This window comes from Homo sapiens, chromosome 3, assembly GCF_000001405.40.
Source record: "Homo sapiens chromosome 3, GRCh38.p14 Primary Assembly".
Lineage (NCBI taxonomy): Eukaryota > Metazoa > Chordata > Mammalia > Primates > Hominidae > Homo > Homo sapiens.
The window spans coordinates 53806136-53822775 of NC_000003.12; the positions used below are offsets into that span (position 1 = coordinate 53806136).

Below are 16640 nucleotides of genomic sequence, written 5' to 3' on the forward strand. Positions count from 1 at the left end.
TCATCTACCCTCCTCCTCCTTCTTTTCCCTCCCCCTCTCCTCCCTCCTCCTCCCTCCTCCCTCCTCCCTCATCTTCCCTCCTCCCCCTTCCTCTCCCTTGCCTTCCCTCCTCCTCCCTCACTTTCTCTGCTTCTCCCTCATCTTCCTGTCAAGTCTGTCAGTGCCCTCTGCTCACGGGGCAGGTTCTGGACTTGTTGGTCCCCTTCACTCTGGGGCCAGGAAACCCATCCCACCTAGAGGGGCTGGGGCTGGGGCTGGCTGCTTCCACCTGCTTTCCCTCTGCAGCGGTGGGTGGCAGGAGCTGGCGGATCTGGGTCATCCTGAGCAAGGAACTCCAGCTGGGGGAAGAGGTGCAGCCCTGGCCCCTTCCAGCCCTTGGCTGAACAGTTTCATTTTGGACATGTGGGCATTTTGCTGATGGTTAAGGACTATCCATTTCTGGAATTTCTGAGGAATGAAGCATATTTTTGAACAGGACTCTAATCAGTAACCAAAAATAGCCGTGACACATCGGCTTCTGAGTCTGCCAACTGCATATACTATAAAGAGCACCACTGGGAGGTGCCCAGGGCCCTCTGCCTCACTCCAACTGTCACAGCCCCACTGGGGAGTGTGACCAGACCCATTTCCATGGTTAATATTTAATTCCTCAGCCCTGAACACATGCAGCTAAATGAAGTCACTCCTTTCCCATAAATACTAGATGAAGCAGATGCAGGTGAGGCCGGGTGATGGCCCTCGCCCTTGTGAGTTCCACTGCCTTCCTCGGGCCTCGGCCTTTGTCTACTGCCTACTTGGCCAAGCAAGCAAGCACATGAATCCCACCAGCCACAGTGCCAGAGAGGAGCTGAGTGGGCAGGAGTGGCTGTGCTCTTGATTCATAAGGTGGTTTTGCTTTGCTGCCCCGCAGCTCAGACCTTGGACAGGAAGAACATTTCCCTCCTCCACCTGTGTTCTCAGCTGCAGGGGGATTCCCTCCTCCTCCAGAGAGTGTTGTGCAGAGCACATGAGATGGTGGGGATCCCTGGAGCATTTTAGAAATGGAAAAGCACCACATACAGGAGAGGGACCGCTGCTCTCCTTTCCCAGCCCCCAGCCCGGCCATTCGATCTGGAAACCTATGCTCCACAGCACAGTTGGCCCCTGGGTGGTGCGTGGAGGGAAGGCTTTCTGATGAGGCAGCCGTGTGTGTCCCATGTAGGCAACTGAACCAGGAGGCCCCACAGTGCGCACTGGGCACGAGAGACCAGGACTGGCTGTCTCGTTCCTCTCTGCTGGGCAGTGCCTAGCCAAGGACTCAGCCCGGTCTCTTGTGTGCAGCCCCAGTGTGCCTGGGAGTCCTCCCCTGGCTAGGCCCTGGGCTTTCCAATAGCGGAATGAGGGGCATGTGGAGTTTTGCCAGGGCTGAGAAAGGAGGCCCTGTGATCCGAGAAAAGCAGCGGTCAAGATAGGAGCCATAGAAATGCCTTGTAAACGATAGGTGTGCTCTCGACAGAGGCCCCTGCAAGGGGTAGGAGGTTTCTGGGAGGAGGCTGCTGGCTGTGTCTTAGGGCCCCAGAATTCAGACTGATCTCCCGGGCCTGGTGCCCTGTGAAGCTGGGAGCTGTGGATTGTCTTGTTAACCTCTGTGTGAGCCTCTGTTGGAAGAGCTGTTAGCAGGACAAGCATTTTCTTAAAATTAGAGGTGTCCTTTGTTTGTATTCAGTGCTAGAGAAGCTGAATCTTTCCCAACAAAAATAATTTGCTTATTACCTGGTCAAGCTGATCAGTGCAGGTAAAGTCCCTCCCTTTAAAACAGGTGTAAACACAGGAGCCCCAGCAAGATATGTCAGCTGCTGGGGACACTTAGGGTATCTGGAAGGTGACAGTGGGAAGTGTCGTGGGGTTCTGGCAGGACTTGTGTTCTTGCACTGAAGTGCTGTGCGCTCCCCACAGTATGCAGCGCCAGGGCTTCTGACTCGGATCAGTTGCCCTATGGGCTGCCTTCACTCCTCCTCCTGAGAACAGGCGAACGTTTAAAAGTAGTAAGTTCTCTTTGGGAGGCTGAGGCGGGTGGATCACGAGGTCAGGAGATCGAGACCATCCTGGCTAACACGGTGAAACCCTGTCTCTACTGAAAATACAAAATAGTAGCCGGGCGTGGTGGCGGGCGCCTGTAGTCCCAGCTACTCGGGAGGCTGAGGCAGGAGAATGGCGTGAACCCGGGAGGTGGAGCTTGCAGTGAGCTGAGATTGCGCCACTGCACTCCAGCCTGGGCGACAGAGCCAGACTCCATCTCAAAAAAAAAAAAAAAGTAGTAAGTTTGTACTTTAAAAAACATCCCTCACTGGGGCTTCTGCCTTCATCCTCTCCTACTAAAGTTTGGAGACCTCACTACCTAATCTTTCTCTTGGACAAACCGCATGCTTCTTCCTGGGCTCGTTGCTGAGCATCCGGGGCCACCCTGACTCTGAAAGACGGTGTCCCGGCAGAGAACTTGCTTCACAGCTGTGTGATGCCCTTTGCTTTCCCAGCCCACCGGAGATCCTCCTTCAACTTTGAGTGCCTGCGCCGGCAGAGCAGCCAGGAAGAGGTCCCGTCGTCTCCCATCTTCCCCCATCGCACGGCCCTGCCTCTGCATCTAATGCAGCAACAGGTGAGCGGCCCACCTGGCCTTGCCCCCACACCTAGGGGCACCCCACATAGGACCCCCATCAGGTCACTCCCTTCTCCTTGGCCTTAAGCACCAGGAGGGAAGGAGAGAATCTTCACCTACAGTCTAGTTAATCTTTGTAACAATCCTGTCAAATAGCTATGGCCATGAGTCCCATGCTGCCCAAGCTCACACAAGTGACTGCTGGCATTTGAATCCAGGGAGCCAGCTGCCAAAGCTGGCCTCACTGCCCAGGTGCCTCCCTGCGATCCCCACCACCTCTTCCTGGCATTGAATACAGAGCCTGATGTGATCTGAGCTCAGGGAGTGGGGGCCACTTGGCTGATTCTGAACAAGCGGTGCAGCCCTTCATTTTCTCTAAGAAGTGGTTCCTTCATTAAGTTTATGGGTCCCTCCATGGGCAGGGCCCTGTGGGTACTATGCAGGGTTAACCTCCCCTGCCTACAAAGGGAGCAGTCTGGGGAGAACAGTTTGCCCACGTTGAGGGCGGCTGCACAGGCAAGAGGGTGGGGCCGGAGCCCACTCACTAGGGCTTTCCCTCAAGGATAACAATATGGCGCTTTTTCTTTCTGAAAATATCACATCAGAGATGCCATTCATTCGTGCACGACAGGGTGGTGGGCATGGACCTGTGCTGTTTACAGACAGCGTTCCCCGTCCCTCTCTGCAGAGTGTGAACCCCAAGGTGCATCTGCCGTGGTGGGATTGTAAGACCGGGGCTTGTACCCAGTGCTTTAGCACATGCCAAATGCCGGCTCTAGGATGCATTACTCCAGAGCAAAGAGAACCAGCTGTTTTCCTATAAGTGCTGGGAAGTGGTAGTTTCCCCTGAATGTACTTCGGTATTTAAACCCAGCATGAACTGGGTGGTGTGTTCACACCCACAGCTTGTTGGGCTTCCCTGATTCTTCATTCTGAAGCAATTTCATGAATTAGCAACTGATACCTCCTTGGGAAAAGCCAAAGGAAATGCATTATGGATTCGGGGTAAAAGAAAGCACAGTCTGCTAGAAAACAAAGTCATCACCGCCCATTCATTCAGCGTACTTCAGTGTGCCCATGTCCTTTCCAAGTCCTTGCCTGGACTGCCCCTGGCGAGCGCAGCGCCGGTGCTTGGTCTGTGCGCAGAAGGTTTGAGGCCCGGACCTCTGAGAACCTCTGGTCTCCCAACAGTCCCCTCTTTCCTCAGATCATGGCAGTTGCCGGCCTAGATTCAAGTAAAGCCCAGAAGTACTCACCGAGTCACTCGACCCGGTCGTGGGCCACCCCTCCAGCAACCCCTCCCTACCGGGACTGGACACCGTGCTACACCCCCCTGATCCAAGTGGAGCAGTCAGAGGCCCTGGACCAGGTGAACGGCAGCCTGCCGTCCCTGCACCGCAGCTCCTGGTACACAGACGAGCCCGACATCTCCTACCGGACTTTCACACCAGCCAGCCTGACTGTCCCCAGCAGCTTCCGGAACAAAAACAGCGACAAGCAGAGGAGTGCGGACAGCTTGGTGGAGGCAGTGAGTACGGTTCTTGGCCGTGGTGGGCAGGAAGCACCAGGAGCAGCAGAGGTGCAACTGTAACAGCAGGAAGGGCAGTGGTGGGAGGGCGGCCAGGCTGTGAGCTAGGCTGCCTCAATCAGACACTTCTGAGCAGCAGGAATGTACCTGAAGCATGAGTAAAAACTGGTCACCACCACTGGCTGCAGTGGCTTACGTCTGTAATCTCAGCACTTTGGGAGGCCGAGGCGGGTGGATCACCTGAGGTCAGCGGCTCAAAGACCAGCCTTGCCAACATGGTGAAACCCCGTCTCTACTAAAAATACAAAAATTAGCCGGGCGTGGTGGTGTATGCCTGTAATCCCAGCTACTCAGGAGGCTGCAGCAGGAGAACTGCTTGAACCCGGGAGGTGGAGGCTGCAGTGAGCCGAGATCACACCACTGCACTCCAGCCTGGGCCACAGAGCGAGACTCTTGTCTCAAAAAAAAAAAAAAAAAAAAAAAAAAAACAAAAACTGGTCACCACCGTCAATTCTCATAAATGAGCTGTGCTGGCATTATGGGTGCTGTTCCGGCATATGTTTCTAGTTTATACTAAATGTCTTTCCCCAGTGGGTTTCACTCTTGTTGGGCCATGTGTAGTTTTTTAGCTCCAGGACATTTTCAAAGCCATTTACACTAGTTATTATGTATGAGGTCTAGAAAACATGATTGAGCTGCATCCCCAAAGCACACGGTGCAGTTAAGTTAGCACTGGAGTTGATTTTTCTGTCGTCCCCCTGCCCTGCAAAGCCTTATAACACCCCCATGCCATCCATCCCTCTTTTCTGTACAGGTCCTGATATCCGAAGGCTTGGGACGCTATGCAAGGGACCCAAAATTTGTGTCAGCAACAAAACACGAAATCGCTGATGCCTGTGACCTCACCATCGACGAGATGGAGAGTGCAGCCAGCACCCTGCTTAATGGGAACGTGCGTCCCCGAGCCAACGGGGATGTGGGCCCCCTCTCACACCGGCAGGACTATGAGCTACAGGACTTTGGTCCTGGCTACAGCGACGAAGAGCCAGACCCTGGGAGGGATGAGGAGGACCTGGCGGATGAAATGATATGCATCACCACCTTGTAGCCCCCAGCGAGGGGCAGACTGGCTCTGGCCTCAGGTGGGGCGCAGGAGAGCCAGGGGAAAAGTGCCTCATAGTTAGGAAAGTTTAGGCACTAGTTGGGAGTAATATTCAATTAATTAGACTTTTGTATAAGAGATGTCATGCCTCAAGAAAGCCATAAACCTGGTAGGAACAGGTCCCAAGCGGTTGAGCCTGGCAGAGTACCATGCGCTCGGCCCCAGCTGCAGGAAACAGCAGGCCCCGCCCTCTCACAGAGGATGGGTGAGGAGGCCAGACCTGCCCTGCCCCATTGTCCAGATGGGCACTGCTGTGGAGTCTGCTTCTCCCATGTACCAGGGCACCAGGCCCACCCAACTGAAGGCATGGCGGCGGGGTGCAGGGGAAAGTTAAAGGTGATGACGATCATCACACCTGTGTCGTTACCTCAGCCATCGGTCTAGCATATCAGTCACTGGGCCCAACATATCCATTTTTAAACCCTTTCCCCCAAATACACTGCGTCCTGGTTCCTGTTTAGCTGTTCTGAAATACGGTGTGTAAGTAAGTCAGAACCCAGCTACCAGTGATTATTGCGAGGGCAATGGGACCTCATAAATAAGGTTTTCTGTGATGTGACGCCAGTTTACATAAGAGAATATCACTCCGATGGTCGGTTTCTGACTGTCACGCTAAGGGCAACTGTAAACTGGAATAATAATGCACTCGCAACCAGGTAAACTTAGATACACTAGTTTGTTTAAAATTATAGATTTACTGTACATGACTTGTAATATACTATAATTTGTATTTGTAAAGAGATGGTCTATATTTTGTAATTACTGTATTGTATTTGAACTGCAGCAATATCCATGGGTCCTAATAATTGTAGTTCCCCACTAAAATCTAGAAATTATTAGTATTTTTACTCGGGCTATCCAGAAGTAGAAGAAATAGAGCCAATTCTCATTTATTCAGCGAAAATCCTCTGGGGTTAAAATTTTAAGTTTGAAAGAACTTGACACTACAGAAATTTTTCTAAAATATTTTGAGTCACTATAAACCTATCATCTTTCCACAAGATATACCAGATGACTATTTGCAGTCTTTTCTTTGGGCAAGAGTTCCATGATTTTGATACTGTACCTTTGGATCCACCATGGGTTGCAACTGTCTTTGGTTTTGTTTGTTTGACTTGAACCACCCTCTGGTAAGTAAGTAAGTGAATTACAGAGCAGGTCCAGCTGGCTGCTCTGCCCCTTGGGTATCCATAGTTACGGTTTTCTCTGTGGCCCACCCAGGGTGTTTTTTGCATCGCTGGTGCAGAAATGCATAGGTGGATGAGATATAGCTGCTCTTGTCCTCTGGGGACTGGTGGTGCTGCTTAAGAAATAAGGGGTGCTGGGGACAGAGGAGCAACGTGGTGATCTATAGGATTGGAGTGTCGGGGTCTGTACAAATCGTATTGTTGCCTTTTACAAAACTGCTGTACTGTATGTTCTCTTTGAGGGCTTTTATATGCAATTGAATGAGGGCTGAAGTTTTCATTAGAATGCACTCACACTCTGACTGTACGTCCTGATGAAAACCCACTTTTGGATAATTAGAACCGTCAAGGCTTCATTTTCTGTCAACAGAATTAGGCCGACTGTCAGGTTACCTTGGCAGGGATTCCCTGCAATCAAAAAGATAGATGATAGGTAGCAATTTTGGTCCAAAATTTTTAATAGTATACAGACAACCTGTTAATTTTTTTTTTTTTTTTTTTTTTTGTAAATAACAAACACCACTTTGTTATGAAGACCTTACAAACCTCTTCTTAAGACATTCTTACTCTGATCCAGGCAAAAACACTTCAAGGTTTGTAAATGACTCTTTCCTGACATAAATCCTTTTTTATTAAAATGCAAAATGTTCTTCAGAATAAAACTGTGTAATAATTTTTATACTTGGGAGTGCTCCTTGCACAGAGCTGTCATTTGCCAGTGAGAGCCTCCGACAGGGCAGGTACTGTGCCAGGGCAGCTCTGAAATTATGGATATTCTTATCCTCCTGGTTCCTTCGGTGCCAATGGTAACCTAATACCAGCCGCAGGGAGCGCCATTTCTCCTAAAGGGCTACACCACTGTCAACATTATCCTGGACTCTGTGTCTCTCTCTGTTGGGTCTTGTGGCATCACATCAGGCCAAAATTGCCAGACCAGGACCCTAAGTGTCTGATAGAGGCGATGATCTTTTCCAAAGTCAGTACTTACAAACTGGCATTCTTACAGGCTGCACCATTTCCTAGTATGTCTGCTTTAAGCCTGGTTCAACCTCTCATCGAATATTAAATTTTTCTTTGTAAGAAAAATTTGAAGTTGTAGAGCATGGTTTTTTGTTTTCCCTTGTCTTAGGAAAGTTTTAAGATGAAATGTTTTTCCTTTTTGGTCCCCTCCCCATCTGAAAAACACACATTTTTGTGTCCACAGGAATAACACATTTAGTTTCTTTAGTCTTATGTTTTTCATAATCTCACAAAATGTAAATGGCAGCTATGATTTCACCGTCAACTGGCAGCGAGAACCTCACTAAGAACCATCTCTGCTCAGCCTATGGACTCCGACATCCACCCAGACAGCTGGATCTCGCTTCACCATGTGGCACTTTCCAGCTCTATCCTACGAAGTTTCAGAATTGGGCGAAGGCCAGGCGTGGTGGGCTGTGAGGGCCACGTTACCTCTCGGTGCAGTCTCACCTGTGTGAGATGGGACCAGGGGCACCACTTGCTTTCCTGCTGACCCTGCTATGAGAAAAACTGGAGCAGTTTCACCTTGTGTACTTCTCAGCATCGTAAGTGTCTTTGCCAATTGCATTTCCTAGAAAAGTTGTACTGTTTTGATAGGCAGCTGGCTGGTTTAGAAAAACCAGTTAGCCATAGAACTGACATCACGCAGAGAGCCCCGACTCCCTGATTAGCCCACCCCAACTCAAAATCTGACTCCAGGGATGTTTTGTTGAAAATGTTATTTCTCTAAAACAGTATTTCTTTTCCTCTCCTGGGGACTAGGAGGGCAGGAGACAATGAGGAGCAGGCCTGGGCCCTGGTTCCAACATCAAGAGTGACAGGGTGGTCTCAGGGATGTCCTGTGAGGGCAGCCTGAGCCACTAAACAGGTCCAGTAGAGATGGTATTTTATCTTTAAAAAATCTGTATTGGATCTGATGTTAAGTTGGCTTATCAGTAGAAGCATGAAACCACTTCTGAGTGGCGGGACATGGTTGGGTGGAGAAGAATCTGTTTTTTTGTTGTTTTTTTTTGAGACAGTCTCACTCTGTCACCCAGGGTGGAGTGCAGTGGTGCAATCTTGGCTCACTGCAGCCTGCGCCACCCAGGTTCAAGCGATTCTCCTGTATCGGCCTCCCAAGTAGCTGGGACTACAGGCGTGCACCACCATGCCCAGCTAATTTTTGTATTTTTAGTAGAGACGGGGTTTCACCATGTTGGCCAGGCTGGTCTCAAACTCCTGGCCTCAAGTGATCCACCCACCTCAGCCTTGCAAAGTGCTGGGATTACAGGCGTGAGCCACCATGCCTAGCCAAGAAGAATCTATTTGAATTCGTGGAGATGATGCCTGCAACCTTCGCTACAAGCAGAAAGACTAGATGTTTGGGTGCCTACAACTCCTGCTTCAGGAACTCACCATCTCCAGTCAGGCTGCCAGATGCTCTTGGCTCCCACACAGCCCACCCCTATCCCCTATTCCATCAGGAGCTGCCTTCTACTAGTGCAGCGGCTTCAACACAGGCTTCTGCAATAGGTCAGGGCTCCTGAGAGCACTGGGCACATGGACAGCGCATTCTGTTGTGCTCTTTGAGCCATTTTTGCAAAGCACGTTTCTCTGTTTTTAGGTACTGCAAGCTTTTGGCCAAGGGGCCCAATTCCCTATGAGACTGAAGATGGGGGGGTACCCTCTGTGCACCCCACTTTGTAGCAAGTGCCTTTCTCCCCCATGCTGGCTTCCTCAGGTGACAGCCTCTCCTCCTGGGGTGAATGAAAGACTCCCTTCATGGCAGGGGAACGCTCAGGTTCTGGACATGTGACACTTACCATCTTTTCTTTTAAACCTCATTCCTGTTTATGGCCAAATTGTGCGATTGTGTAGAACATGGCTAAGTATTTGAGAGTGAAAGAAGGGCCTGGGTGCAATTGAGCAGCATCACCAATGGGCTCCTCTTACCATATGACGTTTTGCTTATTTTAAAATACAGCCACCAGACTGAACCCACCATGGTCTCAGACACTGACACACCCATGGGACACAGAGATGGTAGAACTAAGTGACTGTCACCCTGCCATATCCATACCTGTTCCAGAGAAGAAGGGTCAGCACAGTCATGGTTGGTCCAGGACTATCCCCTGCCCCTGAATCCACACACGCTCCAGCAGGAAAGCTGCACGAGGCCCTCCAAGTTACGGGGCTGGCACCTGAACTCCTGTTTCTGCACTCTTGCAGGCAGCCCCGAGACCCAGGTGACTGATGGCCATGGACTGCTGCTGTGGGGCAGGTGGGGACCCTCCGTAGGAGAAATAAGTCTCTTGGCCGGTTTAGAATTTTCTTTCTTGACCCTCTCTTCGAACAAAAATTTTAAAAAATACAGGTAAGATTAAACAAGAGCTGCTTAAGATTTTTAAAAGGAGAGGTGTGATGGGTTTCTTCCTGCTGCCTCTCTCGAAGGTTTTTCTCAGAAAACTAACTTGTGGCTGTCGGACGCCCCCCCCCCCCGCCCCAGTCTGTAAGCCGCCCCAATCCTCTCAGATCCGAGCAAAGCCTGGAATCCCCCAATTTCCTCCCGTCCTTATTCTGGGCCTAGTATAGCTGCAGGTTTCCACGCAACAATGCTTTTCTTCCCAGCCCTTGACGGTGGATGTGGATGTCTGGAAAAATCCAAGTGCATTTTATTTTCATTACCTTGTCAGAACAGTCTGGAGAAGGCATCTCAGTTCAAATGTGAGTGACTGGATCACTTTATTGAATGGTAAGAAATTTAAAGAGCAAAGAGCTGTTGTAAATGCTACTTGTATTTTTTTTCCTCCAAAACTCCAGTCTTGAATTTATTTTTCTTTCACACAGGGGCATTTCTACAGCCACAGGGTGCATGGCTGTGCTTAACTGTGTTTTCCATCCTAGTCTGTTCCTGTGGACGTCTACAGAATAAGAATTAACCATCCTTGTCCACTGCTGGGATGGCTCAGGCTGCCAAGTCATTTCCCAAGACCAGTATGAGAGAGTCCTTTCTCGGGCTAGCTGCTTCAGTAGGAATCAGTGATCTGGTACGTGGGGTTTGCTCTTGGTTTCTGCATTTCTTGGTAAAAGGAAAACCTTTTAAAATGCTAAGTCATAAAACCTTTGGTAGTGAAGCCAAGCGGCATTCCCTCCAGACTCCTCTCCCCTTGAATAAGGTCCAAAAAAATCTCAGGTTTTTTTTTTTTTTTTTTTTTTTGAGACAGGGTCTCACCCTGTCACCCAGGCTGGAGTGCAGTGGTGCCATCAGGGTTCACAGGAGCCTCAACCTCCTGGGCTAAAGCCATCCTCCCGCCTCAGCCTCCCAAGTAGCTGGGACTACAGGTGTGTACCACCATGCCCAGCTAATTGTTTTCCAGAGACAAGGTCTCACTATGTTGCCCAGGCTGGTCTTGAACTCCTGAGCTCAAGTGACCTTCCCAAAGTGCTGGGATTACAGGTGTGAGCCCTGCACCTGGCCCTGGTTTAATAAGAACCAGAGCCACAACCCTCTCAGAGTGACCCAGTGGAGCCCCAGTTACCTGCCTCACTCTGAGAGTGAAATTAGGCAGCGAGAAAGGAAAAGCCAGTTTTTCAACCAGCAGGCAACTTTCCCCTCTCAACAGGGACACTGGGGACTTATGTGCCAGCCCAGGCTGAACTAACTACTGTGTGACTTACTGCCTCAGCTAAAGCTTGCAGCTCAAGAAGGAGGATGCCCCTTCCTTCGCGAACCCTCCGTGGGTCTGGCAGGCACCCAGCCTCTGTGCATGGCCTGGGAAGGAACCACTGCCCTGGGTTAGAGAATGCCACGTGAACACAAGAAAAAGGATGCGGCAGGAGTTAACCATCCTCCCCTTCTGTCCCTCCAGGAGGCAGGGAGGAACATCTCAGGCTGAATGCTGGCCTTCCCCAAATGGCCCACAGGGAAAGGCTGGGGAAAAGGAGCTGGATTCACTGCCCAGTACTTGTCTCATTTCCCAAGACTTTATCCAATTCTCAGCCACTGAGTAGGGTACCACCTGGGTCCTAGTGTGCTAGATAGTTTCAGGCAGGAGCCTGGGAGCAAGGGCTGTGCTGGCCCTCTTGGCTTATCAGGGGGCTTCCCTGGTCATCCTCCAGCAGCAACTGTCTTAGCGCTGGGTGGCCAGCGTCCTGGGCTTGTAGACAGGGACATCTTTGTCCCAGAGTGCAGGCTGCCCCTTGATAATGTCAGCTGCCTTCTCTGCGATCATGATTGTGGGGGCGTTCAGGTTGCCGCTGACCATGCTAGGCATGATGGAGGCATCGACGACCCTGAGGTTTTCCACCCCGAGGACCCTTGTCTGCGGATCCACCACGGCAGTGGGATCGGAGGGCTGGCCCATCTTACAGGTGCACGAGGGGTGGTAGGCGCTGTCGGCTTTTGCCCGCACAAAGGCATCTATCTCTTTATCTGACTGAATGTGGCTTCCTGGCTGGAGCTCTTTCCCTCGGAACGGAGCCAGGGCTTCCTGTGCAAAAATTTCTCTGGTGAGCTTCACACACAGACGGAAATCCTCAATATCAGTTTCTGTCGAGGAGAAGAAACAGGTGAGGACCCCTCCTTTTGCCCGTGCTGGCCTCACTGGAAGATTCACGGCATGGAGAGGCTCTGTAAGCTGTCTGAGGGGATGGTGTTTGGGGACAAAGTTCAGGGCCATGGGGGACTGAGCCAGCAGGCTGCTTGTCCCTGCCCACAGCGGGTTAGACTGTACCGTGTAGCTCAAAGGTAGCATCCTACACGGACACAGCCCACCCAGAGGCCCAGGTTTAAATCAGGGATCTGACTTATCTGTAGGGCAGGGATAAGTACACACACCCTGCCCCTGCTACAGTGGGGCTGTGAGCACCCTGCAGCCACTGCTGGGCAAAACCTGCCCAGTGGGTAGTGCTCGTTTTTGCTGCATGCAAAGAGGCAGGCCCAGGAATGGAATTTGCTTTTAGAGACTGCTCAGAGTGACAACAGGAAAAATGCTCTACCTACAGACCTGGCACCTGCATGGCGTGGTCTCCCTGCACATCATGGCAGATTGTTCTGAAAGCTGAAAATCTCCCCTACTGTCTAAACCCTGGGACTTCATTTATCTCATGTGTCCCAGGACACTACGGGGCTGCCTATGCAAGTTTACAGCCTAAAGTGACACGGTGGGGGACGACAGAGGGTCACTTGTGTCCTAGAAAGTGTAGTCCAAGGGTATGATTCAGGGATAAACAGGAACCCCACAAAGGCATTCGTTTGTTCAAGCCCAGGAAGACACAGGTGGGTGAAGTACCTGTTGACAAGTAGTTGGGCTGGATCACAGGGTGGTCTTGGGGATTGGCACTTCTCAGTTTGAGCCAGCCCACACTCGTGCCCCGCATGGGCCCCACATGTACCTAGAAGAACACAGAGGAAGCAGTGACGGTCCCTCCATAGACATCCACAGTGACCTCTGTCAACCCTGGTTTACCTGTAGGGTGGGCCTCTGCTTCCAGAATCAGTGGGGAACAGATGCATGTTAGCATTTGCCCGCATGGTACCCACCTCCACGAGTGATTACAGACCACCTCAAGGAATCACTCTTTCATCCTGGCCTCATACTCCATGGCTCAAAGCTTTCAGAGGTGGTGATCCCAGAGCCAAGTCAGCCCCTCTGTTTGTCCCATTTCTGGTGCTCGGTACCTAGCCTGCATGAAACAGTCATACCATTGGCATGCACCACGCAGACTGACACGCTGGGCAGCTGGAAGGCAGGGGACAGGCCTCTGTGTCCCCCACTCTGCAGCCATATGGCACCAGGGAGAATGCTGCCTTGGAAGATGGGAGCATCTTCCTTCCTGGTGGGAAGGAGACATCCTGGGAAGCCGAGGCTCTTCCACCTGCTCACCTGGTAAGCCTCCTGCTGGGTGGGGACCCGCCCGTGGTCAATCACTTGGGATGGCAGGAAATGGAACTGGATGTCCGGGTGGGGGACCCCAGGCTGGCTGCGGATGAACCCACCTGTTTCCAGATGGGCAGTGGCTCCCTCCCCTGAGAAGCAGAAGAGGATGAGGCAGAAGAGCCAGTCAGGCCGTGGCAGGTGGGCCGGCTGCTCCTGGTTTCCCTCCTTTCTCCTGGCCGCTCCTCTTCCTTTTCCCGGACTCCACTCTAGTGCCTGGACCCAAGTCCTGTCCACATCTGTTCACCCCTCACAGGGGGCTCACCCAGCACCACACCATAAAATGTCAGCTATTTGCCAAAAGGATGGCATCAGCTCTGCTCTCTACCAGGGCCAATTCTGCCACTGCCCATGCCACCTGCCTTACCGGCTCTTCCCACTACCTAGCACAGCACACAGCACATACTAGGTGTGTGAGAAATACAGACTGAGTGGATGGGTAGGATTTTAAACTACCATTTCCTGGCCCAGGCACAGCTAGAAATCAAATGGAAAAGGTTGAAAGATGAATGCTGATTCTGCAGTCTAGCCCCAAAGTCTCCTCTCTCCACCTTTTCTCCTGGCTCCTTGGACCTCACCTGCTGTCCAGCACAAGGCCATCCCTGCTCATCCGTAAGGAGGAGCAGCCCCTAAGCCCCGAGGAGTCTCACCTCCAGCAGGCCCTGGGCCAAGCTCCTTGGCATGTGCTATTGTTTCTGGTCCTCGCTTCAACCTGTCAGGTTGAAACTGTGCATCCCCATTTTGAAGATGGAAAAACTGAGGCTCAGGGCTAAGGTAAATGGCATAGTTCCGCATCAAACCCAGTGGCCAGAACCCCTGTTCAGCTCCTCAGGAAGGAGGTCTCAATGCTTATAGGCAGTCTCCTCCCAGGTTACTGGTAAGCGTGCTCACCTGTGAATTTCCAGAGCCACTCCAGACCAATGCAGACCTTCCGCAGGGGCTTCTGTGCTGAATGGAGGGTGATAGGGCGGGTGCATGCCTGCTGAATGTAGATCTCCAGGTGGTCTTGCAGGTTCTGGCCAACCCCTGATACGGGAAGGAGTGGTTTAGAAAATGGCTACCAAGGGGGCTCAGCTGCTTCTCAATATCCCCCCGGTTTTGAAAAATTCTTTCCTATTCCCTTATCTTCTGGACCAGCTCCTGCTCAGTTCCCTGGTCTCAGCTTAAAGGCTGCCTCCCAGAGACACTATGTGTGCACTCCTGGCCAAGTCTGGCCTGCCTCGGATGCTGCCAAGGCCACCTGTCCTTGTCACTCACTCCTACGGCAGCCTCTGGGTGCCCCTTGTCAGCCCTGCTCAGCAGCCCCCTCTGTGAGGGCAGGGCCTACGCCTTCAGCAGGCACTGCTTGGTGAGCGGTTGCTGGATGGTGATGGCCAGAGGGGCAGACAGCAGCCCCACCCTCACGCCAGCGTGGGGAAGGAGGAAGCAGCCCTGTCGTGCTACACCGTCCTTGCATGAATTCATCCAAGCCTACTGGGACACTGGGCAGGTCAACATCATGAAGCAGCACTTCCCCGGGCCCCTCATGATGAAGCCTAAAGGCACAAAGGCCTAGCCCTCCCGGAGTGGGGTTATCAAGGAGGGCAAGAGACAGAGCCCGACCCTCAAGAGCATCAGAGACAGTTTATAAAACAAAGTTTACATCTTAACATGAAGAGCAGGCTCTGGAGCACGGAGCTGACCTCATTCATGCTCAGGGCAGCCAGCGAGTCCTGTGGATGGAAGGACGAGGCCTGGACCCCTCTCGCCATAGAGCTGCCCTGGTGACACGCCCATGCCCGACCCAGTGGGGCTTCAGGGCAGATACTCCCTGCTGCAGGGTGCCCTTCTCCAAATGAAATAGGGCAGCCGGAGGAGGGAGAAGGAAAACAATGCAAGACTCGGGGCCCAGGGATGACAGTGTCCAGTGAGGCCTGGGAAACCTTCGGGCTCTCGGGGACAATGTGATAGTTCCAAGGATCACTGACTGCCACCACCTCCCCACTTCATGCTAATAAGATACATACACTAAGCCTTTTGTTGAGCAGAGACAGCCTCTGGGGAGCAGTAAAGAAGGGGACTCACCAGGTAGGTGGCACACCACAGGGATGCCCAGTTTCTTGAGGTCATCAGCATTCCCGATGCCAGAGAGCATGAGCAGCTGTGGAGAGTTGATGGCACCTCCACTCAGAATCACCTCCTTGCTGGCATAAGCCTGGAAGAGGTCCAGCCAGGTCACTCCCTGAAAAGCCAGCTGTTCTCCTGACTCACAGACCAGCGCCCTACTCTAGCCAGCACCATGAGAACACAGCCTTGGGATGTAGAATCCTGTGGCACACCCGGGACAGGCCCCAGAGCTAAGGAGAGGAAACTCACTGAGTCACTACTTGAAAGCAACCAGCAGGTGCAACTACAGCTGGACAGTAGTGACAGCCTTAGAAACAGGAGGGGAGGGCTTACACGAGATAAATGAAAGCAGGCATTCAAGTGGGTGGTTTAGAGAGAGCAAGCGGTGAACCAGATCTACACATGAAGCTGCAAAACAATCAGACCCCCTGCCAACAACACAGAAATAGAGTACAATCACATTTATGGGTTTTAAAACCTCTAGTGTAAACCTATAGCTTTAAACCTATAGCTTTCTGTGACATCGGTGCCTTGAAATGGTGTGGAAGGTACTGGGGGAGAGCTCTGAATTAGGCATGGCACACAGGGGCACTGACACCATAGGCCCTTTCTCGGTGGCAGGACTAGGGGCTTCTTCACCTCCACCAGCCCACTGCCATCAGCTACTCGCCCCTCCCCCCGCCATCACAGGGATGAGCACGTGGGTCTGGGGGTGAGGGCGTGACTCCTGCCCACTCTGAGCTGGACCACCAGGGTCACTGCCCACCCCCTTCTTCCAGGACCCCAGCTGCAGTCCACTCACCCTGTGGCTCTGGCCATTCTTGACATACTCCACGCCCACTGCACGGGTGCCCTCAAATAGCACCCTGCTCACAAGCGTCTCGGCCTCGGCCTTGAGGTTGGTGCGGCTCAGTGCTGGGTGCAGGTAGGCACAGGCCGCGCTCCACCGTTTGCCTGCAGGATGGAGTGAGGTGGTCAGGCATGGCTCCGCCCTCCCCTGGCACCTGGGCAGGAGGAAGGAGCTGGAGAAAGAAAGAGTGGATATGCCCAGCTCTGACTGCAAGTCCCGCCTTCAAAGTAAAGCTGA

The 16640-nt window shown here is 52.1% G+C and overlaps 2 protein-coding genes across 21 annotated transcripts in view, besides 2 other annotated features; one reads left to right on the forward strand and one right to left on the reverse strand.

The window, feature by feature from the left end:
- The window catches only part of CACNA1D (calcium voltage-gated channel subunit alpha1 D), a 319123-nt gene extending 311525 nt beyond the window's left edge, over positions 1 to 7598 (forward strand). For all 20 annotated transcript variants that reach the window (NM_001128840.3, NM_001128839.3, NM_000720.4 and 17 more), the window contains 3 exons: positions 2514 to 2635; positions 3843 to 4163; positions 4978 to 7598. In NM_001128840.3, coding sequence (NP_001122312.1) covers positions 2514 to 2635; positions 3843 to 4163; positions 4978 to 5271 — 737 coding nt within the window. In that variant the 3' untranslated portion in view covers positions 5272 to 7598. The remainder of the gene's footprint in view (positions 1 to 2513; positions 2636 to 3842; positions 4164 to 4977) is intronic.
- Positions 769 to 1270: an enhancer, noted in NCBI's record as "H3K4me1 hESC enhancer chr3:53840931-53841432 (GRCh37/hg19 assembly coordinates)". NCBI's record gives its function as "activates a minimal SCP1, AML or CMV promoter by ChIP-STARR-seq in naive H9 embryonic stem cells {active_cell/tissue: H9 hESC(naive)}" and the evidence as "EXISTENCE:reporter gene assay evidence [ECO:0000049][PMID:30033119]".
- Positions 1271 to 1770: an enhancer, noted in NCBI's record as "H3K4me1 hESC enhancer chr3:53841433-53841932 (GRCh37/hg19 assembly coordinates)". NCBI's record gives its function as "activates a minimal SCP1, AML or CMV promoter by ChIP-STARR-seq in naive H9 embryonic stem cells {active_cell/tissue: H9 hESC(naive)}" and the evidence as "EXISTENCE:reporter gene assay evidence [ECO:0000049][PMID:30033119]".
- The window catches only part of CHDH (choline dehydrogenase), a 34085-nt gene continuing 23644 nt past the window's right edge, over positions 6200 to 16640 (reverse strand). Inside the window, exons 4-9 of the mRNA NM_018397.5 lie at positions 16356 to 16507; positions 15512 to 15641; positions 14339 to 14473; positions 13397 to 13539; positions 12803 to 12905; positions 6200 to 12060 (exon numbers count right to left, since the gene is read on the reverse strand). Coding sequence (NP_060867.2) covers positions 11642 to 12060; positions 12803 to 12905; positions 13397 to 13539; positions 14339 to 14473; positions 15512 to 15641; positions 16356 to 16507 — 1082 coding nt within the window. The 3' untranslated portion in view covers positions 6200 to 11641. The remainder of the gene's footprint in view (positions 12061 to 12802; positions 12906 to 13396; positions 13540 to 14338; positions 14474 to 15511; positions 15642 to 16355; positions 16508 to 16640) is intronic.